Source organism: Homo sapiens, chromosome 19 (assembly GCF_000001405.40).
Source record: "Homo sapiens chromosome 19, GRCh38.p14 Primary Assembly".
Lineage (NCBI taxonomy): Eukaryota > Metazoa > Chordata > Mammalia > Primates > Hominidae > Homo > Homo sapiens.
In genome coordinates this window covers 40485599-40509794 of record NC_000019.10, presented here as the reverse complement: position 1 = coordinate 40509794, position 24196 = coordinate 40485599, and the positions used below count along the sequence as shown (strand labels likewise).

Sequence of the window (24196 nt, the reverse complement as noted above, 5' to 3'; positions counted from 1 at the left end):
CCCATCAACCTGCAAGCCAGACAGGTTCTTCCTTTTCGAATAATGCTCCAAGATTCCAAAGGGCTGTGGGCTCCAGATAAAGGAGGAGAACATCTTAATGGAGAGATACGGACCAGCCTCAAGACCCTCTTATCAGCTCCATGGCCTGGGCCTCAGTTTCCTCATCAGTGAGAAAGAAATAAAGCAGCCCCAACTGCCGTCAGCACTCAGGGCTAGCCATCGTGTTCTGAGGAGTATAAATAATCTCACAGGCCAAGCGCAGTGCCTCACACCTGTAATCCCAGCACTTTGGGAAGACAAAGCGGGCAGATCACCTGAGGTCAAGAGTTTGAGACCAGCCTGACCAACATGGAGAAACCCAGTCTCTACTAAAAATACAAAATTAGCCGGACATGGTGGCGCATGCCTATAATCCCAGCTACTCGGGAGGCTGAGGCAGAAGAATCGCTTGAACCCAGGAGGCAGAGGTTGCAGTGAGCCGAGATCGCGCCATTGCAATCTGGCCTGGACAACAAGAGCAAAACTCCATCTCAAAAATAAATAAATAAGTAAAAATAATAATCTCACAGAAATGGCCAGGGACAATGGCTCACGTCTGTAATCCCAACACTCTGGGAGGTGGAAGCGGGAGGATTGCTTGAGCCCAGGAGTTCAAGACCAGCCTGGGTAACATAGAGAGATCAAGTGTCTAAAAAAAAAAAAAAAAAAAGCAATAAACAACAACAATAATAATAAAAAAAACTCACAGAACGCTCATATCAGATGGGGCCACTCTGACCACGATGGAGTAGGACAAAACCAAGCTCGCTCCATAATCTTGCCTGAGCACAGACAAAATCAAGGTCACTGTGCAAACCACAAAAATGACCACGCATCCCCTCGCCGGCTCAGATGAATGACAGCTGCCAATGAATGCAACAGCCTCCTTCTCTTCCTCCCACCACCTAGATCAAAATGATTAAGACCCCCAATCACCTAGTCACCCCCATATTCTGACAGCATCCAATCCACAGCAAAACTCACTACACTGAATCATCTTCCAAATCACCTAACACAAGCCCAAATCCTACAATAAGCCACCAGTCATATATATATATATATTTCTTTGAGATGAGGTCTCGCTCTGTTGCCCAGGCTGGTGTGCAGTGGCACGATCTAGGCTCACTGCAACCTCCGCCTCCCAGATTCAAGCGATTCTCCTGCCTCAGCCTTCTGGGTTGCTGGGATTACAGGCTCATGCCACCACACCAAATTAATTTTTTGTATTTTTAGTAGGGATGGGGTTTCACCATGTTGGCCAGGCTGGTCTCGAACTCCTGACCTCATGTGATCCACCTACCTTGGCCTCTCAAAGTGCTGGGATTACAGGCGTGAGCCACCGCGCCTAGCCCCCCATCATACTTTCTTGCTGAGAAGCCCCACAGCTCCCCATGGTGGGTGTAAAGAGCCACCAAACCCAACTTCGTTTGACCACAGAGGGACTCCTGGTGGTCTCTGGCTGGAGGGCATTGACATAAGTAAGACAGGAACCTTATTAGAGCCAGTCTTGGTTTTGCCTATCAGCATCCATGTCCCATCCATATCTGGTAAGGCCGTCCCTCTCTCCTCTTTTTCAGTCTAAGCCTTTGTAATGGGCTGACCCCACTCCTGGCCCTGGGGTAGGCAGGTCACATGCATGTGGCCGATTAGATCACTGCATGCCCTGGGGCCACAATGATTGGCTGAGCAATGATGGAACCCACTGTGAGCCAATGCAAGCTCTCCTAGGACTTTTTGTCAGAACTCTTGGGAGAAAGGGGCCTGGGTCCCATTGGCTCTGCTAACCTGTTAGGCTGTATACCTGGGGCTGAATGATCCCAGATTTATACCACAAGGGACAGGACTGCTCAACAGTGACACTAACACAAAGACTAGTGATGGAGAGAGACGAGAGAGATGGAGTCTTTTGTTTTTGTTTTGAGAAGGAGTCTCGCTCTGTCACCTAGGCTGGAGTGTGCAGTGGTGCGATCTCGGCTCATGGCAACCTCTGCCTCCTGGGTTCAAGCAATCCTCCCACCTCAGCCTCCTGAGTAACTAGGATTACAGGTGTGCACCACTATGTCCGGCTAATTTTTTTGTATTTTTAGAAGAGACGGAGTTTCACCATGTTGGCCAAAGCCTGACCTCAAGTGATCCGCCTGCCTCGGCCTTCCAAAGTGTTAGGATTACAAGCATGAGCCACCGTGCCTGGCCTGAGTCTTTTTCTTTTTTTTTTCTTTTTTGATATAGAGATGGGGTCTCACTATGTTGCCCAAAACTCCTGGCCTCAAGCAATCCTCACATCTTTGCCTCCCAAAGCTCTGGAATTACAGGCATGAGACACCATGCCTGGTCTCAGATGGAGTCCTAAAAGCACCCTTGAGCCATACCTGGATCCAGCCATGCCTGAGGTAAAACCCACCCTTCCCCAGACTTTTTTTTTTTTTATTTTATTTTTTTGCTGACAGGGTCTCAGTCCAGTTGCCCAGGCTGGAGTTTAGTGGCACAATCTTGGCTTACTGCAGCCTCGACTTCCCAGGCTCAGGTGATTCTCCCACCTCAGCCTCTGCAGTGGCTGGGACTACAGGCGTGCACCACCATGCCTACCTAATTTTTTGTATTTTTGGTAGAGACGGGGTTTCGCCATGTTGACTAGGCTTCCCTGAACATTTTGGTTACATTAGCCAATCCACTCCTTTTCACCTTAAGCCATTTGAACTGAGTTTCTATCACTTGTGTTAAATAGGCCCTGATTAACATTACTTAGCACAAGTTTTCTTTTTGGTTTTTTAAGAGACAAGATCTCACTGTGTCACCCAGGCTGGAGTGTAGTGGCATGATCATGGCTCACTGAAGCCTCCAATTCCTGGCCTCAAGTGAGCCTCCTGCCTCAGCCTCCAAATAGCTGGCACTACAGGCTTGTATCACCGTGCCTGGCTAATTTATTTATTTATTTATTTTGGTACAGATGATGTCTTTCTATGTTGGCCAGGCTGGTCTTGAATTCCTGGGCTCAAGTGATCCTCCTGCCTCGGCCTCCAAAAGGGCTGGAATTATAGGCATGAGCCACCGTGCCCAGCCCACACAAGTCTTTTTAAATGGTATTCGTTGAGATCAATCTGTGAAGGGCTTGGCACATAACAAGTGCTCAATAAATGTGGGTTATTACTGCAGAATCTAAAGCAGGAAGAGGTCGAGTGGCCCATCCTGCCACTCAGGGCACTGATTCTCCCTATGACTTCCCCAGTGGAATGTAATCTTAGGCTCTGCTTAAATGCCTCCAAGGACAAGGAGCTCACTCTTTCCTTCTCTCAGGAGTCACTCTTGCCTCTATTAGCACCAGTCCTGACAGTCTCCACCCATAGCCCCAGCCCCAGCCCCAAGACTCACCCTGCAGCTGGGAGAAGCGCAGGGCAGCGGCATTGAGAGCCTCCACCCGCTCGCTCTGGGCGGCAATGTCTCCCTCCAGCAGTCCATGCTTCTGCAACAGGTCGTCTGCCTCCACCAGGTGCTGCCCACACTCCCGGGACAGCAGCTGAGCCTACAAGCGGGGACAGCACTGAGCACACCTCTGGCACTGCCCTGGGCCACTCACCTCTCCCCCATTGCCTATGCCAGCCCCTGCTACTCTGCACCATCACTCCCGACTCTGACCCTCTTGGAGAGATATGGACCAGCCTCAAGACTCTCTTACCAGCTCTGTGGCCTGGACCTCGGTTTCCTCATCAGAAAGAAAAAAGCTGAGCCCCAGCTGCTGTCAGCTCTCACAGCTAGCCATGGTGTTCTGTCTCTGTCTCCCTCTCTCTCTACCAGTCTCTCTCTGAATGTTTCCATCTCTCGTGGACTCCACATTTCTGGGCTCTGTCTCTGTCACAGTGGCTCACTCTCTGCCTCCATGTCTTTCTTATCTATACATCTTTGTCTCCATCTTTCTCTGCCTCTCTTTCTACATTTCTACCCTTTTCTCTTTCTCTCCATCTCCTGTTCACCTTCCTGTCTGTGTCTCCTGTTCACCTTTCTTTCTTCCTTCCTTCCTTCCTTCCTTCCTTCCTTCCTTCCTTCCTTCCTTCCTTCCTCCCTTTCATTCTTTTTTCTTCTTCTTTTTTTGAGACAGAGTCTGCCTCTGTCACCCAGGCTGGAGTGCAGTGGCGCGATCTCAGCTCACTGCAAACTCCACCTCCCAGGTTCAAGTGATTCTCCTGCCTCCCGATTAGATGTACTTCGCCCGGCTAATTTTTGTATTTTTTAGTAGAGATGGGGTTTCGCCATGTTGGCCAGGCTGGTCTTGAACTCCTGACCTCAGATGATCTGCCTGCCTCAGCCTCCCAAAGTGCTGGGATTACAGGTGTGAGCCACCGTGCCCGGCTTCTTCTTTTTTTTTTTTTTTTTTTTTTGAGACAGGGTCTCACTCTGTCATCCAGGTTGAAGTGTAGTGGTGCAATCATGGCTCACACAGCCTCAACCTCCTGGGCTCAAGCGATCCTCCCACTTCAGAGTAGCTGGGACTACAAGCGCACACCACCACGCCTAGCTAATTTTTTTTTTTTTTTTTTTTGTACAGACAGGATCTCACTATGTTGATCAGGCTGGTCTCAAACTCTGGGGCTCAAGCAATCTGCCTACCTCGGCCTCCCAAAGTGCTGGTACCGCAGGTGAGAGCCACCATGCCCAGCTGGCTTCTATCTTTCTTGTCTCATCTCTCTCTAGATCTGGTAGGTCTCTCTCTCTCTCTCTTAAATTGATTCCATCTTCCTGTATCTTTCTCTGTAGTCATGTAGATTTCCATGTCACCTTTGTGTCTGCCTTCTCCTCTCTCTGTCTCTCTGATTTCCTCTCTCTCAAACTGTCACTATCTCTCTGTCTGCATCCCTGGTTTACTCTGTTTCTATATCTCTATGTCTTTTTTCATTTCTCTCTTTTTTTTTGAAACAGAATCAAACTCTGTCACTCAGGCTGGATGGAGTGCAGTGGCACCACCTTGGCTTACTGCAGCCTCTGCCTCCTGGATTCAAGCAATTCTTGAGCCTCAGCCTCCCAAATAGCTAGGACTACAGGCACACGCCACCACGCCCAGCTAATTGTTTTTTGTTTTTTTTGTTTTTTTTTTTGAGACGGAGTCTCGCTCTGTCGCCCAGGCTGGAGTGCAGTGGCGGGATCTCGGCTCCCTGCAAGCTCCGCCTCCCGGGTTCACGCCATTCTCCTGCCTCAGCCTCCCAAGTAGCTGGGACTACAGGCGCCCGCCACTACGCCCGGCTAATTGTTTTGTATTTTTAGTAGAGATGGGGTTTCACCATGTTGGCCAGGCTGGTCTGAAACTGCTGACCTCAAGTGATCTGCCCTCCTTGGCCTCCCAAAGTGCTGGTATTACAGGTGTGAGCCACCGTGTCCAGCATGTTTCTATTTCTCTCTATTTGTCTCTGTCTCTTTCTCATTCTGTGTTTCTTTGTCTGCCTCTCTTGTCCATCTCTGTATCTTTCTCTCCCTCTCTCTCTTGTTCTCTCTTTTTGTCTCCCTGGCTTTCTCTCTATCTTCTTCTATCTCTGCCCTTCCCTCTCCATCTCCAGCTGTCTGACAACTCTTTCAGCGTCTGCATCCTCCCCTCCCTCCTGGCACTCCACCCGCATCCCCGCCCCCCCGCCGGCACCTGCATCTCCTCCATCCAGTCCACCATGTACACCATCTCCTGGAAGACCTTCTGCAGGGCAAGGTTCTGCTCAAGTCGTGTCCGCCGGGCACCCACAAGCCCAGTTAGCAGGGCCCACTGGCGCAGGACGCTGTCACGCTGGGCTGCCACCCGCCGGATATCGTAGTAGCCTTCGGCTGCCAATGCCTGGGCCAGCTCCGCCACACCCTGCACCCGCTCCTCGTAGGCCGCAATGTCTGCCTCGATCGCTTCGTGTTTCTTCATGGCTGCCTCCACTGCGGGCAGCTCATACCCAAAGTTGTCCTGGGGCAGTGAGCCAGACACTCACCCATGCTGCCTCAGCAGTCCACCTGTTACCTTGACCCTGTGTGACCCTGGGGACTCCCCACTCCATTACCTTGGAGACTGGCCCTGCCCTCCCTAGTTATCCTGGAGACCAGCCTCATCCTCCCCTGTTACCCAGGTAACCTGGAGACCAGCCCCACCCTCCATTGTTACCTTGGAGACCAGCCCCACCCTCCCCAGTTACCCTAAAGACCAACCCCCCATCCCCTGTTGCCCTGGAGACCAGCCCATCTTCCACAGTTATCCTGGAGACCAGCTCCACCCTCCCCTGTTGTCCTGGAGACCAGCCCAATCTTCCCCAGTTACCCTGGAGACCAGACCCACCCTCCCCTGTTGCCCTAGAGACCAACCCCACCTTCCCGTTTCCCCAGAGACCAGCCCCACTCTCTCCAGTTACCCTGGAAACAAGTCCCACCCTCCTGTTACATCTCTAACCTTAAACTTGTTACCCAGGAAGGAGGCCCATGCTTCCCCTGTCCTGGAGATTAGGGACCAGGTTTACCTGACTCTGTTACTTAGGAAACCAATTCTATCCTTCTGAGTTACCCTAGACACAAGATACAACCTCCCTTGTCACTTAAAACACTCCCCCATTCCTGAAAAGATGAATTCTGCCCTCTCTAGTTACCCTGGAGACCAGCCTCACTCTCCCATTACCCTGGAGATCAGGCCCATTCCCCTCACCCAACAATCACTTGGAAGGCCAAGTCTCCCATCCCCATCCTCATTTATCACCAGGAGACTAATCTAACTCTTCCCTGTTGCCTAGAAGATCAAGTCTCCCTCTCTGGTCCCAGGACCATCAGCCCCGCCCTCCGTCCCTTTACCCTGGAGCCAAGCCCTACACCTTGTACCTGGGAGACCAGACGCTGGTTCTCATTCAGCCAGCTCTCCCTCATAGCCACCTTGTGGTCAAACCTCTGTGCCAGTAGTTCCAGCTTCTCCTGCCGAATCAGCTCAGCCCGTAGGGCAGCCTCCCGCTCATGCTCAGCCTTCTCCAGCTCACCCCATGCCTGCAGGAGATGGGAGGAGGCACTCAGACTCTGACAGCTCCCCACAGTTTAATGGTCTTGACTTAGTCTGAGGTCACTCATAGCATTATGGCAACTTCATGCAAATTGGAAAAAATATTGCTTCCTTATGACACTTTACTACTGAAAAACTGTCAGAATGAATATCTAATCCATCATGTCTACAATGTGAATGATTCCCTTGAGCAGTGTGCAACCTATACAACTCCACAGTGCAACCCCGCCTCTCCCCTGCATCCCCGGCCTCACCTTGTCAATATCCCAGATGCCACAGCCCTCCCGAGGCACAAAGAGGCGACGGTTGCAGGCACGCAGTTTGCTCTGGATGCTGAAGAGCAGCACCTCTAGGTTCCCCTTCTCCTGGAACCTGAAGGGGCATGAGCTCAGGAGCCCTGCCGTCATGCCACCCCTGCCCACCCTCCCTCCAGAGCTGGGCCTCACTTGACAGGCTTCTCCAGCGTGCAATAGGCCGTGAAAGCCTGGAGTTGCTGCTGCACCCCACTTAAGGAGTTGGCAAATTTCTGATTGCTGATGAGGCCCACGGTGCGGTGGATCCAGGCCAGCAGCTCAGCCGCCAGCTCCTCGTAGCGTTCTATGATCTTCCCCACCTCCAATACCTGGTCCAAGACCTGACACAGCAGAGGAAGGGGGGTCAGCCTCATCCCACCCGTGCCTGCCACCAGCTTCCAGCTTCCCACTCACCCACTCCTTGGCTCCTTATACCTTCCCGATACGCTTCCCCTCCACAGCCAGAGCCTTCATCTTGGAGAAATAGTGGTAGAAAGAGACCACGTAGGTGATGATGGACTTCTCATCTGGAGCCTCCATGTTCACATCTGGAAGCAAGAGGGAGTGGGGAAACAAGACAGTGGGCACTTTGACAGAGTGCTTGAAGGTATTGGATGGAGGGATGGAGAAGCCACTCTCACTAGCTGTGTGACCTTGGGCAAGATAATTAACCTCTCTGTTCCTCAGGTTTTGTATCCGTCAAATAGAAATCTACCTCCTGGAATTAAATAGTGCCTGACACATATAAACCACCGCAGAGAAATAAGCTATACTTTTCTTTTTCTTTTCTTTTTTTTTTTAAGATGGAATTTTGCTCTTGTTGCCCAGGCTGGAGTGCAATGGCACGATCTCAACTCACTGCAACCTCTACCTCCCAGGTTCAAGTGATTCTTCTGTCTCAGCCTCCCAAGTAGCTGGGGTTATGGGCATGCACCACCATGCCTGGCTAATTTTATATTTTCAGTAGAGACAGGGCTTCACCATGTTGGTCAGGCTGGTCTCGAACTGCTGACCTCAGGTGATCCGCCCACCTCGGCCTCCCAAAGTGCTGGGATTACAGATGTGAGCCACCGCACCTGGCCTATATTTGTTTCTTGAACACACCTTTCTACCTTCCACCTCAGGGCCTTTGCATGTGCTGTTCTCACTGTCTGGAGCACTGTTCCTCTTCTGTGTTCCTAATTCCCACTTATTCTTCAGAGCTCAACTTTTTACTTTTTTTTTTTTCAAGAGATGGAGTCTGGCTCTCTTGTCCAGGCTGATTGTGCAGTGGTGCAATCATAGCTCACTGCAGCCTCGAGCTCCTAGGTTCAAGCAATCCTCCCACCTCAGCCTCCTGAGTAGTCAGAACTAAAGGTGTGAACCACCATGCCTGGCTCAACTCAAATTTCCTTAGACAAGCCTCCATGTTCACTCTGTCTATAGTTGATAATCCTCATGTTATTCTCCTCTTAGCATCTTATGATGTCCTTCCCAGAATGTATCACAATTTGTAATTACATATTCACTTATGTGATTATGTCATTATCTAGAGCTTGAGCTTCATGAGGACAAACACTATGCCTGTTTCCTTTCTTTTCCTTTCCTTTCCTTTCCTTTCTTTTCTTTTTCTTTCTTTTTTTTTGAGACAGTCTCAAGCTATTGCCCAGGCTGGAGTGCAATGGCGTGATCTTGGCCCACCACAACCTCTGCCTCCCAGGTTCAAGCAATTCTCATGCCTCAGCCTCCCAAGTAGCTGAGATTACAGGCACACACCACCACGCCCGGCTAATTTTTTGTAATTTTTTAAATAGACTTTTTATTTTTTATAAAACATAGACAGGGTCTCTCTGTGTTGCCCAGGCTAGTCTTGAACTCTTGGGCTGAAACAATACTCCTGCCTCAGCTTCCCATAGTGCTGGGACTATAGGCGTGGGCCACTATAGGCGTGGGCCCAGCCGTATGCCTATCTTCTTTATCACTGTTCTGTCTTACCCAGCACACAGTAGGTGCTAAATTAAAATTTAGTTAGCTTGCAAATTGTGCACAAGGCTTGATGTCAAGAACATAGGCTTTGGAGGCAGCATGCACTTGGATCCCAGTTCAACACTTACTCACTGCATGTCCTTAGAAAATAACCTAGCTTCTCTAAGCCTCAGTTTCCCCATTGTTATAATAAAGATTATCATGGTTCCTGCCTCCTGGGAACAATGTAAGTATTAGAAAGACTAGCCTGGCACAGAGGGGAAACTCAACAAATTCTAACATCACTTTAATTGGTTGTTGTTTTTTGCTTTTTGAGTTGGGATCTGGGGTGCAGTGTTGTAATCAGAGCTCACTGCAGCCTCGAACTCCTGGGCTCAAGTGATCCTCCTGCCTTGGCCTCCTGTGTAGCTGGGACTACAGGTTTGTAGATATGGGATTTCACTACATTGCCCAGGCTGGTCCTGAACTTCTGGCCTCAAGCGATCCTCCTGCCTTAACCTCCCAAAGTGCTGGGATTACAGGCACAAGCCATCACCATGACTGAGTGATATCATTTTAATTTACCCACTGGATGCACAACAGTATACCTGGCCTTTATTCTTCACTGCCTTGTCCAACTGACATCCATTAGCACCTACTACGTACCAGGCACTGAGCACAGGATACAGCTATAAGAGGCAGGGTAGAGGACTGATTAAGACCATGAATTCTGGAGCCATAAGGTCTGGTTTCCTGATTTTCAGTGTGATGCTGGGCAAGTGACAACATCCCTGAGCTGTCATTCTCATCACTTTGGAAGACAGGTTAAGCCAGGCATGTGGCTCGGGCCTGTAATCCCAGGCACTCTGGGAGGCCAAGGTGGGAGGATCGCTTGAGTCCAGTAGTTTGAGACCAGCCTGGGCAACATAGCGAGACCCCACCTCTACCAAAAAAAAAAAAATCAAAAATTAGCTGAGCATGGTCGTGCACGCCTATAGCCCCAGCTACTCTGGGGGCTGAGGTGAGAGGATTGCTTGAGCACAGGAGGTTGAAGCTGTAGTGAGCCAAGATTGTGCCACTGCACTCCAGCCTGGGCAACACAGTGAGACCCCATTTCAAACATAATAATAATAATTAAACAGGGTTTAAATATTAAATTCAGTTGGATAAAAAAATAAATAAGTAAGCCAGGTGTGATGGCTCACGCCTGTAATCCCAGCTCTTTGGGAGGACGAGGCAAGCAGATCACTTGAAGTCAGGAGTTTGAGACTAGCCTGGCCAACAATGGTGAAACCCTGTCTCTGCTAAAAATACAAAAAAAAAAAAAAATTAGCCAGGCTTGGTGGCGTGCACCTGTAGTCCCAGTTACTTGGGAAGCTGAGGCAGGAGAATCACTTGAACCCGGGAGGCGGAGGTTGCAGTGAGCTAGGATCGCCCCCACTGCACTCCAGTCTGAGTGACAGAGCGAGGCTCTGTCTCAAATAAATAAATAAATGAACATAAGAACAATAAATAAATAAAACGTCCAGGCACGGTGGCTCACACCTATAATTCCAGCACTTTAGGAGGCTAAAGTGGGCAGATCACCTGAGGTCAGGAGTTTGAGACCAGCCTGGGCAACATGATGAAACCCCACCTCTACTAAAAATACAAAAATTAGCCAGGTGTGATGGTGCACACCTGTAGTCCCAGCTACTTGGGAGGCTGAGATGGGAGAATCACTTGAGCCTGTGAGGTGGAGGTTGCTGTGAGCCGAGATCATGGCACTGCACTCCAGCCTGGGCAACAGAGCCAGACCCCGTCTCAAAAATTAAATAAATAGGCCGGGCATGGTGGCTCATGCCTGTAATCCCAGCACTTTGGGAGGCCAAGGAGGTGGACCATAAGGTCAGGAGATCGAGACCATCCTGGCTAACACGGTGAAACCCCGTCTCTACTAAAAATACAAAAAATTAGCCGGGCGTGGTGGCGGGCGCCTGTAGTCCAAGCTACTTGGGAGGCTGAGGCAGGAGAATGGTGTGAACCCAGGAGGTGGAGCTTGCAGTGAGCCGAGATCATGCCACTGCACTCCAGCCTGGGCGACAGAGTGAGACTCCATCTAAAAAAATAAATAAATAAATAAATAAATAAATAAATAAATAAATAAATAAAATAAAATAAAACAGGGTTGATAAATTCTCTCTAACCAGGTCAGTGTGAAGATGAAAGTGAACAGCTCTGATAAGGTTCCCAGACATGTGTCTGGCACACAGTAGAGCTCAGAGGAAGGGAGCAGCTTTAATTTGGGATGGGAGATGGGTGTCAGGGCTGATCCTGGTTTGGGGCTGAGGCTGAAGTCAGGGATGGGATTAGGGATAGACTGGAAATGGAAAAGCAGCTGAGGATGAGGATGGAGTTGTGGGAGAGATAGACATGGGGATGGGCTAGGGCGAAATGAGTTTGGAAATGGATTAGGGTGGGGATAGGAATGGAGTTGGAGCCGAAGATGTGGTGGGGATGGAGACACTTGAAGATGGGGTTGGCGTTAGGGGTGGGGATGGCGTTGGAGATGCCACTGGGTTTGGGGCTGGGGTAGGGGAGTGGGAGTTGGTTTAGTGGGAGATGGTTGAAAGCAGGGTTGGGGAGGGTGTTGGGGATGGGTGGAAATTGAGAATGGGGAAGAGGAGGGGTTACGTTGGGACACGGTTGGGGATGAGAGAGGAAGAGGTGTGAGGATGGTATGTGGGAGGGATCGCACATGAGGAAGGGGAGGCACAAGGGGAGGAGGCTGAGGAGACAGTTGGGATTTGGAAAGAGTTGGGATTTGGAGAGGCCTCAGGATTTGGGATGGTGCTGGGGTGGGATGGAGTTGAGTGTGACATGGCATTGGGGTTGGGAGTCCCCCAAGACGAAGTCTGGGCTGGGCCCGCGAGAGGCTCACCTTCAGGATCCAGCAGCCGCGCCAGCCCCAGGTGCTGCTCAGCTGTGCGGAAGGCTCTCTGCAGGTTGTAGTTGGCATTGGACTTGGTGAGTTTGCTGAAGTCCACGAGATCAGGCCTGGGCAGGGGCACAGAGCAGGCAGGCAGCAGGCAGGCTCCAGAGCCGGCGGGCAAGCAGGGAAGAAGCCACCCTTGTCTGAGCACTGCCCAGGGCAATGGGCAGAAGGGCACAGTCTAGCCAAGGGGCAAGCTGTGTGTGCTGTGCAGCATTTAGCTGTGATGTGAGTGTGATGGACGCGGGCATGTCTCTGTGCGTTCCCGGGAATGTGTGTGTGCATGTGCATTTGTTGCTGGGCCGGCCTGTGCACACAGACGAATGGGTAGGCCAGCCTGAGTGTGCTTGGAAGAGATGAGCCCACACGGTGCCTGCCTGTGTATGTCTCTGTGAAATCATATGACAATACGAGTGTGTACAGCCCTTATGTGTGTTGTGTGAGGACACATGTACCTCTTTTTTTTTTTTTTTTTTTTTTTGAGATGGAGTCTCGCTCTGTCACCCAGGCTGGAGTGCAGGGGCGCGATCCCAGCTCACTGCAACCTCCGCCTCCGAGGTTCAAGCAATTCTCCTGCCTCAGCCTCCCAAGTAGCTGGGATTGCAGGTGTGCACCACCAGGCCCTGCTAATTTTTATATTTTTAGTAGAGACGGGGTTTCACCATGTTGGCCAGGCTGGTCTCGAACTCCTGACCTCAAGTGATCTGCCTGCCTAGGCCTCCCAAAGTGCAGGGATTACAGGTGTGAGCCACTGCGTCTGGCCAGGACACATGTACCTCTGACACACATATGCTTACTTTGGGGATTCTTATGTAGTGTTATGCAGTGGTTAGAAGTGTGAGGACCAGAGCCAGTTCATCAGAGCTTGAGCCCCAGCTTGGTCATATCCTGGTTGTGTCACTCTAGGTGAGCTACTGCGTTTCTCTGTGCTTTGGTTTCCTCTAAAATGGGGATAATAATAGCACCTGCCAGCCGGGCATGGTGGCTCATCCCTGTAATCCCAGCACTTTGGGAAGCTGAGTTGGGCAGATCACTTGAGGTCAGGAGTTTGAAACCAGCCTGGCCCAAATGGTGAAACCCCATCTCCACTAAACAAACAAAATTAGCCGGGCGTGGTGGCACATGCCTGTAATCCCAGCTACTTGGGAGGCCGAGGTGGGTGGATCACCTGAGGTCAGGAGTTCAAGACCAGCCTGGCCAACATGGTGAAACCTCATCTCTACTAAAAATACAACAATTATCCAGGTGTGGTGGCGGGCGCCTGTAATCCTAGCTACTCAGGACGCTGAGGCAGGAGAATCACTTGAATCTGGGAAGCAGAGGTTGCAGTGAGCCGAGATCGTGCCACTGCACTCTAGCCTGGGGGACAGAGTGAGACTCACCCTCAAAATAAATAAATAAATAAAAATAGCACCTGCCCATAGGTGGATCGGACACACTGAATGGATACATTGACTATTGAATGTTTTAGTGGGAAGCCCTTAGAACAGTGCCTGTGCATAGAAAACACTGAGCGAATGTCACCTAGTGTGAGGATGACCCTGGTGCAGCTTGTGAGTTTCTGTGTATGGAGGTGGGTCTGGGTCTCCCCATGTGTGTACGAGTGTGTGTAGGTGTGAGAAGCAGGGATTGTGAGTGGACAGGTGTCCACAGCAGAAAAAGCTGGGTTCTGGCTTCAGCTACACCACCACAAGCCCCTTCCTGCGCCTGAGTCTCAGTTTCCCCAATATGTCATGCGAATGATCATGATGTGTGTCTAATTTGTGTGGGTGTCTGACCCTCAGCTATTTCAATGTCAGGCCCCAAGGTATGAATCCGTGGGTGTACAGGGACGGGGACTCTAAGGGCTCACTTTGAGGAAGTGTTTTCTTTTCTTTTCTTTTTTTTGGTGGTGGTGGGGGGGTTAGGGGTGGAGTCTCACTCTGTTGCCCAGGCTGGAGTGCAGTGGCACAATCTCGGCTCATTGCAACCTCCGCCTCCTGGGTTCAAGCGATTCTCCTGCCTCAGCCTCCCCAGTAGCTGGGACTACAGGGGCGCACCACCACACCTGGCTAATTTTTTATTTTTATTTTTAGTAGAGATGGGGTTTTGCCATGTTGGCCAGGCTGGTCTTGAACTCCTAACATCAGGTGATCCTCCCACCTTGGCCTCCCAAAGTGCAGGGATTACAAGTGTGAGCCACTGCGCCTGGCCTGAGAAAGCATTTTCTGATAGGAGGAGGTGCTGGGTACACAGCAGCATGACAGTGACAGGGGAGCGAGCTTCCTACCCTGCGGGCAGGCTGTGCACGTGCGTGGGTATCTGTGTGTGTGTATGCATCTGTGCGAGGGCTCATGTGTGTCCATGTGTGCACAGGGTATGTGGCCTGGACAGGAGCCTGTGTGGGTGTGTGTTCCTGTGTGTAAATGTGCAGGGCATGTGTGTGAAGGGAAAGAAAACTGTATGTGTGTGTAGAGGTGAAGGGATGGGTCTTTATGTCTGTGTGTGCCATCTACACAAGTACATGTACAGGTGTGCAGCTGCAGGGATATGGGGGGCTGAAGGGCAGGACTGGGCTGTCCCAGGCCAGGTGGTACCTGTGCCGGTGAATGAGGGCATTGAAGGCCAAGCCATCCCGCCAGCTGGTGGTGAAATTCTGGATGTTTACCTCAGGGTAACTGGAAGGGTGAAGGGAGAAACAGAGGCAGAGATGGGGAGAGTTAGGAGGGAAGAAAGGGGAAAAAGACAGAGGGAGACCGAATGATAGGGAAGGAAGATGAGAGAGAGGGGGTAGAACATAGAAAGATGGATGGATGGGTGGGTGTTGGGTAGGTAGAGAGAGAGATAGGTAGATACACAGATAGATGATAGACAGGTGATAGATGGTGAGTAGAGAGAGAGATAGGTAGATACATAGATAGATGATAAATAGGTGATAGATAGATTGATAGATGATAGACAGATAATAGATATAGGTTGATAGATGATATATATATAGATTGATAGAAGATAGATAGATAGATACATACATACATAATAGATATAGGTTGATAGATGATAGATATATAGATTGATAGAAGATAGATAGCAGGAGAGAAGAGAAAAAGAGAAGCAAAAGAAAGAAGAGAGAAGAGAGGGAAGGAGAGAGAGAGGAAGGAGAGAGGTATCAAGACAGGGAGAGAGCAAGATATAGACAGAGATGGGGAGGGAAAGGAGAGGAGAGAGAAAGAAGACATGAAGAGAAAAGGGAAGGAGGAAAGGAGGGAAGGAGGGAGGAGAGAAGAGATAAGTACAAGGAAAAGCAGATATAGAGATAGACACATGGAGAAACAGATGGCAAAAGTCCCCATGATCTCCTTTGCAAGACAGACAGCCAGAAGGATGAGAGTCAGAGAAGCCCACCTCCATCCCACACCTGCCCCTCCCTCCGTCCTCCCAGGAGCTGCTCTACAGAGGACAATTGAGTTTCAGGTCTTACTGCTCCCTGCAGGGCAGAGAGTTGGGGGCCAAAGGGAACCTTCCCAGTAGAGCCTGCACCCCACCCCGCCACCAGCTCAGCCACACTGAAGCGACCAAGGACTTTGAACTTTCCTGTGTATGCCCTGTGAGGCAGAAGGGAGATGCTCACAGCGGGAGAGGGTGGCCAGAGCTTGGACATAGCACTGAGGGTCCACACAGGTGAATGTGAGATCTCTTGAAATGTAGGATGAAATGGGATGGGGGAGAGAGAGAAGAGAGCAGGCTGGGGACAGTTCACCTCTTTCCAGCATTGGTCTCTGAGGAGTCCAAGAGTTCTATTTTATTTTTATTTATTTGTTTGTTTATTTATTTATGTGTTTGTTATTTATTTTCAAGACAGGGTCTTGCTCTGTAGCCCAGGCTGGAGTGCAGTGGCATGATCGTAGCTCACTGCACCTTGAACTCCTGGACTCAAATGATCCTCCCATCTCAGCCTCCTGGGAACCTGAGAAGCTACGACTACAGACGTCTGCCACCATGCCTGTGATTAAAAACAACAACGACAACAACAACAAAAAAAACCCCACAACTTTTTGTAGAGATGGGGTCTTGCTATGTTGCCTAGGCTGATCTCAAAGTCCTAGCCTCATTCTCCCAAAGTGACAGGCATGAGACACTGTGCCTAGTGAGGCCAAGAGTTCTACATTTGAAACTGGGTGGGGTGCAGTAGTCCCAGCTACTTGGGAGGCTGAGGAGGGAGGATCACTGGAACCTAGGAGATCAAGGCTTCAGTGAGCTATTCAGTGCATGCCACTGCACTCCAGCCTGGGTGACAGAGCAAGTTCAAAATAAATTTGAACCTGGCCTTCTAGCATGTTAGGAAGGATTATTAGTCAAGGCTGGAGAAGTGGACATATTTTATTTACCAGCTGGTTAGTTTCAGATGTAACTTTTTGACCCTGAGGACATGGGCTGCCCCTTGAGCTCTTGTCTGGGAAGGAATTGCAGAGGTTAGGGGACCACTTGCCTAACCTCCTAAGGAAGGTGGTGGGGGTGCTTACCCAGCTGTCTTCATCTGACACCACAAGAGCAGAGCATCCTTGGCTGAGCGTGTCTCTCTGTTGTCCTCAGTCTCAATTTTGATGACTTGAATCTGTGAAGATACAAAAAATGGCTACCAGGGCCTGGAGAGCTTGAGGCTTCGAATGCCCCCCACTCACCATCTGCTACCAGAGAAGGTGGCAGGTGACAGAGGAGATGGGGGAGGCAGCTTCTGGCTGGGGGTGGGGGTCCAGGAGTGTGAGGATAATTCCTGAGGGCCAGGACATCCACAATTAGGGGATCAGTTAGGACTTCGGTCTCTGTTTCCAAGAAAGCCTCCAAACTGAGCATCTGGGCCACTTTCCTGGTCTAAGGCACTGCCGTCTCCTGCCTAGGCTAGTGCGGTGGCCTTCATGCTGATCTCCCCACTCCTGCATCCACAGTGTGTTCTCCACATGGCAGAGAGAGGGACCCTGCGAACACTCAAATCAGATCCTTGCTCCTCTTTTCAACACCCTCCGTATCTCTGTTTCATTCAAGGTAAAAGTAAAAGTTCCCATGATCTCCCATCAGTAAGTTGATGACCTCATCTTCAACAGCTCACTCCACTCCATACCTGCTGGCCTTTTTCCTGAATCACAAGCATCCTCCCTCCTTGGTCCTTTAGCACTGGCTGTTCCATCTACCTGGAACATCCCCAACTCCAATGTCCTGGACCCATAACCACTGGACCCATCTCAAACTGGCCTCAGGGTGTTCCTCAAACCTGCTCCTTCTCCCTGTCCCTGTCTCAGGGCAGCCCCATCATCCTCTAGTCCCCAGGCCAGAGCTCTGAGTCTTCCCCTGGACACCCTCTCCCTCTCCCCTCCCGTAAGGCCTGTCCACTCCACTCCCTGAGTGTCTTCCCCACCTGCCCCTTGTTGCTTCCCCATAGTCCCACCCTGGTCCAACTCTATCCTCCTCCCTGGGCTCTCAGCTCCCAATGTTGGTGAACACCTCCAACCCAGAGGGATCTTTCTTTGTTTTTTTTTTTGTTTTGTTTTTGTTTTTTTTAGATGGAGTTTCACTCTTGTTGCCCAGGCTGGAGTGCAATGGTGTGATCTCAGCTCACCGCAACCTCCACCTCCCAGGTTCAAGCGATTCTCCTGCCTTGGCCTCCCTAGTAGCTGGGATTACAGGCATGTGCCACCAGGCCCAGCTAATTTGGTATTTTTAGTAGAGATAGGGTTTCTCCATGTTTGTCAGGCTTGTCTCGAACTCCTGACCTCAGGTGATCCACCCACCTCAGCCTCTCAGAGTGCTGGGATTACAGGCATGAGCCACCAAGCCCGGTCACTTTTTTTTTTTTTTTTTTTTTTTTTGAGACAGAGTCTCTATCTATTACCCAGGCTGGAGTGCAGTGGTGTGGTCTCGGCTCACATTCTCCTGCCTCAGCCTCCTGAGTCGCTGGGATTACAGGCGTGCACCATGAAGCCCAGTTAATTTCTGTATTTTTAGTAGAGACGGGGTTTCACCATGTTGGCCAAGCTGGGCTCGAACTCCTAAACTCAGGTAATCCTCTTGCCTCAGCCTCCCAAAGTGCTGGGATTATGGGCATGAGCCGCCATGCCCAGCCAAAGGGATCTATCTTTCTAAACTTGTATGCACCTCCCCTTGATAAAATGTTGCAACCTCTCCCCATCTCAGACAGAATAAAATCCAAACTACTCATCACAGATCACCTAGCCCCTTCCATCCCCTGAGCCTCAGCTCCTCCATGTCTCCCGTTGCCTCCCATTCTCTAGCCACTCTGCTCTTCCTCCTGTATTTCCAACAGGCCAAGCTCATTTCTATCTCAGGGACTTTGCATCTGCTGTGCCCCCTGCCTGGAATGCATTCTCTCTTCATCTTTGTATGTCATTCAGCCATCAACTTCCCAGACAGCCCTCTTCTGACCACCATATCTAAAATCTCAACACCACCAACTGACATTTTATATCCCTATTACTTGTTTTATCATAATCTGTATTTTTCTGGGTAGCTTTTTTTTTCTTTTAAGTCATGGTCTCACTGTTGTCTAGGCTGGAGTGCAGTGGCATGATCATAGCTCACGGCAGCCTCACACTGCTGGGCTCAAGTGATCCTCCTGCCTCAGCCTCCTGAGTAGCTGGGACCACAGGCATGCACCACCATGCCTGGCTAATTTTTTAAATTTATTTAAGGTCTCATTATGTTGGCCAGGCTGGTCTCAAACTCCTGGCCTTAGTGTTCCTCCCATCTCAGCCTCGCAAAGTGCTGGGTTTACAGGCCACTTCACCTGGCCCTGCATAGCTTTTTAAACTTCTCTAACTAGAACTGGTCCTTTTTCCATACATGTCTTCTTTACATATTTATGTATTTATTATCTGTCTTCCTCACCACAATGTAAGCTCCTAAAAGGCACACCTTTGTCTATTTGTCTCTATACTGGATCAAGATTGCCTGGATTCGAATTTCAGCTCCAACACCCAGGTATATGTGATCTTGGGCAGATGACACCACCTATCTGGGCTTCCATTTCCTCACTGGTAAAATGGGGTACTAAATAGTACCTAATTTATGGGGTTGCTGTGTGTATTAAATGTCAAGTGCTTAGAACAGTGTTTGGAACAGGGTCGATACAAAATGATTATCGTGATGGTGGTGATCGTGACAATTATTTTTATCATTATTTTCATCCCTAACACCTGGAATAGGATTCCAGCATATTAGGATATTATTGGAAGGAAAGAATGAATGGGTAAATGGTGGGGAACGCTTTCCTAAGTCCCATGTTGCGGGGCTTGGCAGGGGCCACTCGAGGGTCACCTGGAAGCGCAGGATGATGGTCCAGACCAGCCCCAGCGTCAGCCGGTGATTCCCATCCACGATGTCATGCGAACCCACGTTCTCCAGGTGCACGCGCTGCTCCTTCAGAAACTGCAGCGCCTTGTCCACGTTCTCCAGTGAGTGGATCCGCATGCGGCCGCGCGTGGGCCTGGGCTAGGGCGACAGGGGCGGTGGGCGATCGGGGGTCTGGACAGACAGGAGTATGGCGCCCTCGGCCCCGCAGCTTCCAAAGAAGCCCGCCTCCCGTGGCCACGCCCCCTGAGTGTCCAGGATCAGGCTGTCCTCCTCTCGTTTTATCCAAGACACAGGACTCAATCCTTCTAAAGAAGCTCTGTCTCTTCCCATAGCCAGACCCTTTAAAGAATCACATCCCTTCAAGGTTTATTCACGTCCCTGGCTCTGCCCCTTCCACGGGCGCCCCACTTCGAACCTGATAACCACGCCCCCATCATGAAGCCCCGCCCTCCTAGCCCATAGTCTCAGCCCTGGCCCTGCCATTGGATCCCTCTCTACCAATGTTTTGCCACTAATCCCATGGCCGCCCCGGCGTAGTGGCTCAATCCTGTAATCCCAGCACTTTGGGAGGCCGAGGCGGGTGGTTCACTTGAGGCGAGGAGTTCGAGACCAGCCTGACCAACATGGCGAAACACTGCCTCTAACTAAAAATACAAAAATTAGCCGGGCTTGGTAGCGCGCTCCCGCAATCCTAGGTACTCGGGAGGATGAGGCAGGAGAATCCTTTGAACCCGGGAAGCGGAGGCTGCTGTTGAGCCGAGATCGCGCCACTGCACTCCAGCCTGGGTGAGGGAGCGAGACTTCGTTTCAAACAAACAAACAAAAACTCCGCGTCACACCCCTCGCTGCTTCCCTTTCGGGTCCCTAGCTAGAACCACGCCCATCCCAATCAAGCTCCGCCCTGCCCCAGTGCTCTTCCCCTTGTTTATGGCTCAATTCCTTCCAACAGCGTTGGTTCCTATCTATTCTTTTTTTTCTTTCTTTTTTTTTTTTTTTGGCTTTTGTTGTTGTTTTTGAAACGGAGTCTCACTCTGTCGCCCAGGCTGGAGTGCAGTCGCGCGATCTTGACTCACTGCAGCCTCTGCCTCCTGGGTTCAAGCGATTCTCCTGCCTCAGCCTCCTGAGCAGCTGGGACTACAGGTGCCCGCCACCACACCCAGCTAATGCTTTTTGATTTTTTAAAAATTTTTTGTAGAAACGGGTCTCACCACAGCGCTTGGGTTATTTATTTATTTTTGAGACAGGGTCTCTGCCCGGTGCAGTGGCTCACGCCTGTAATCCCAGCACTTTGGGAGGCCGAGGCTGGAGGATCGCTTGAGTCCAGGAGTTCTAGATCAGCCTGGGCAACATAGTGACGCCTCGTATCTATTTAAAAGAATAAAAAAATTAAGAAAAAAGAGAGAGAAACAGAGTCTCGCTTTGTCGCCCAGGCTGCAGAGCAGTGGTGCAATCATGGCTCACTGCAGCCTCGACCTCCCAGGCTCAAGCGATCCTCTCTCCTCAACCTCCTGGGTACTTGGGACTACAGGCCTGCGCCACCACGCCTGGTTAATTTAAACAAATAAACAAACAAACAAACAAACCGTAGAGACGGGGGTCTCATTATGTTGCCCGGGCTGTTCTGAAACTCCTGAGCTCAAGTGTTCCTCCCACCTTGGCTCCCCAAAGTGCTGAGATTACAGGCATGAGCCACAGCGCCCAGCTGTTTGTTCCTATTCCATAGCCATGCCCCTCACAATTCCTTGAGATCCAGGCTCCAGTCCTTTAACGAATCTCTACCCCATGAGAATCCCACGCTTTTAGATGAAACCCCATTCAAGCCCAGAGACACAGCCCCAATTTATACAACAAGCCACATCCCAGGACACCGTCTGCGTCCCTAGACACCGACGACCTAGGTGTCACCCTACCAACGAACACTGCCCCCTAGCCTAGAGCCCCGCACCTTCATCCACTACCCACCCCCAACCCGCAATACAGTTCTGCCCCTGTTTTATAGCATGCCCCTACTAGCTCATAACCCGGGCCAGTCCCTTCTAACAAAGCTCCTCCCTTCTCTAATAGCCCTGCCCCTTGCAACAGAGCCCGGCCCCTTCCACCGAAGCCCCGCCTCGCAACCGTAGCTAGCGAGCCATCAGCTTCGGTTCCAGCCACGCGCCCAGGCTTCTCACGACCAAGCTCCGCCCCAGCGCCACAGCCCCACACACCCGAGTAGAGGGACCTCTTACCCACAGGGCCCTTCCAGCACGTTCCACTCGCCCATGAGCCAGGCCCCTGCTTGCAGTTCAGCCCTTCCAGAGAAGCCCAACCCCCAGCCTGAGACCCCAGGGAGGACCCCTGCCCCAGCCCTTCAGGCCCCCTCACCAGCTGCTCCCCAGACAGCACTTCCAGGAGCCGCGTGAGCACGAAGCCGTCCCGGAGGTCCACATAGAGGTCCCCGATGTGGCAGCCCACGCGGGCGAGGTGCGAGTTCACCCACTTGGTGAAGGTTTTCTTCTGCACGGCTTCCCGCTCATCTGGAGGAGAGGCCCTGATGAGCCCCCAGGCGCTTCCACCTTCACCCCAGCCCTCCGCGAGCCAAGCCTGCTCAGACCCAGCTCTCTGCAAGAGTCCAGCCTCACAGGCGGATCACCTGAGGTAGGAGTTCGAGACCAGCCTGGCCAACATGGTGAAACCCCGTCTCTACTAAAAATACAAAAAGCAGCCGGACATGGTGGCGGGCGCCCATAATCCCAGCTACTGGAGAGGCTGAGGCAGGAGAATTGCTTGAACCTGGGAGGTGGAGCCTGCAGTGAGCCAAGATCGCATCACTGCACTCCGGCCTGGGCGACAGAGCAAGACTCCATCTCAAAAAAAAAAAAAAAGAGTGAGTCGGCTGGGCGCGGTGGCTCATGCCTATAATCCCAGCACTTTGGAAGGCTGAGACGGGCAGATCACAAAGTCAGGAGTTCAAGACCAGCCTGGCCAATATGGTGAAATCCTGTCTCTACTAAAAATACAAAAAGAAACTTAACCGGGCATGGTGGTGCATGCCTGTTAATCCCAGCTACTCGGGAGACTGAGGCAGGAGAATTGCTTGAACCAGGGAGCGGAGGTTGCAGTGAGCCGAGATCACGCCACTGCACTGCAGCCTGGGCAACAAGGCAAGACTCCTTCTCAAAAAAAAAAAAGAGAGTCCAGCCTCAGCAGTCATGTCTCCTCCTACCTGTGACGCCTTCCCCGACCCTCTGCCACCCACCTGGTGAAAACCTTCCTGTCCCTTGAAGTTTTCCTGACATGTCACTTGCACAGGAAGCCTTCCCTGCTTGTGACCCCAGTTGGCTCTAGTCATTCATTCATTCAATAAATATTCGAATGCACACTCTGTGCCTGTTCAAGGCTCTGTGAATACAGCAGGGCCCTCACAGAGCTCAGTTCAGAGAGGACACGGATAAATACAGCCATGGCCTCAGCCTCCCAAAGTGCTGGGATTACAGGCATGAGCCATTGCGCCCGGCCTTAAGGAACTGTCAAACTGTTTTCCAAAGTAGCTGCACCATAGGCCAGGCATGGTGGCTCATGCCTGTAATCCCAGCACTTTGGGAAGCCAAGGCGGGTGGATTGCTGGAGTACAGGAGTTTGAGACCTGCCTGGGGAACATGGTGAAGACTCTGTCTCTACAAAAAAATACAAAAAATTAGCCAGGCAGGGTGGAATGCCCCTGTAGTCCCATCTCCTTGAGTGGCTGAGGCAGGAGGATCGCTTGGCCTTGGGAGGTTGAGGCTGCAGTGACCTGTGCTCATGCCACTGCACTCCAGCAAGGGTGACAGAGCCAGACCCTGTCTCAAAAAAAAAAAAAAAAGTTGCTGCACCAGCAATGTGTGAGGACTCCAAATCCTTGCCAACACTTGCTGTTTCCCAACCCCTCCTTTTTTTTCCCTTGAGACGGGGGTCTCACTACGTTGCCCAGGCTGGAATGCAATGGTGCAATCTTGGCTCATTGCAACCTCTGCCTCCCAGCCTCAGGTGATCCTCCCATCGCAGCCTCCCAAGTAGCTGGGACCAAAGGAGCATGCCACCAGGCCTGGCTAATTTTTGTATTTGGTGTGGAGACAGGGGTCTCACTATGTTGCCCAGGCTGGTCTCAAACTCCTGGGCTCAAGGAATCCACCCACATAGGCCTCCCAAAGTGCTGGGATTACAGGTGTTAGCCACTGCGCTTGGTCATTTCCCTCTACTGTTTTTTTTTTTTTTTATGGCCATCCTAGTGGGCGTGAAGTTGTACCTCACTGTGGTTTTCTTTTGCACTTCCCTAATGGCTAATGATGTTGAGCATCTTTTCATGCTCCATCAGACAGTTGTATATCTTTGGAGAAACGTCATTAAAATCCCTTGGACATTTTTTAGTAGGATTACTCTTTTTTTTTTGAGTCACAATCTCACTCTGCCGCCTAGGCTTGAGTGCAGTGCCACAATCATGGCTCACTGCAGCCTCAACCTCTCAGGCTTATGCAGTCCTCCCACCTCCTGAGTATCTGGGGTTACAGGCACATGCCACCATGCCCATCTGATTTTTTAATTTTTATTTTTGTAGAGACAAGGGTCTCACGATGTTGCCCAGGCTGGTCTCAACCT

General features: G+C 51.0%; 1 protein-coding gene across 5 annotated transcripts in view; it reads right to left on the bottom strand.

Annotated features, from left to right (window-relative positions):
* SPTBN4 (spectrin beta, non-erythrocytic 4) overlaps positions 1 to 24196 on the bottom strand; it is a 109464-nt gene that overhangs the window by 66670 nt on the left and 18598 nt on the right. For 4 of the 5 annotated variants that reach the window (NM_020971.3, XM_017027051.2, XM_017027052.2 and 1 more), the window contains exons 3-13: positions 21947 to 22098; positions 19547 to 19720; positions 16741 to 16832; positions 14818 to 14898; positions 12191 to 12306; positions 7762 to 7874; positions 7480 to 7667; positions 7288 to 7405; positions 6862 to 7020; positions 5663 to 5965; positions 3409 to 3559 (exon numbers count right to left, since the gene is read on the bottom strand). In NM_020971.3, coding sequence (NP_066022.2) covers positions 3409 to 3559; positions 5663 to 5965; positions 6862 to 7020; positions 7288 to 7405; positions 7480 to 7667; positions 7762 to 7874; positions 12191 to 12306; positions 14818 to 14898; positions 16741 to 16832; positions 19547 to 19720; positions 21947 to 22098 — 1647 coding nt within the window. The remainder of the gene's footprint in view (positions 1 to 3408; positions 3560 to 5662; positions 5966 to 6861; positions 7021 to 7287; positions 7406 to 7479; positions 7668 to 7761; positions 7875 to 12190; positions 12307 to 14817; positions 14899 to 16740; positions 16833 to 19546; positions 19721 to 21946; positions 22099 to 24196) is intronic. The other variant, XM_017027050.2, reaches the window with a different exon arrangement.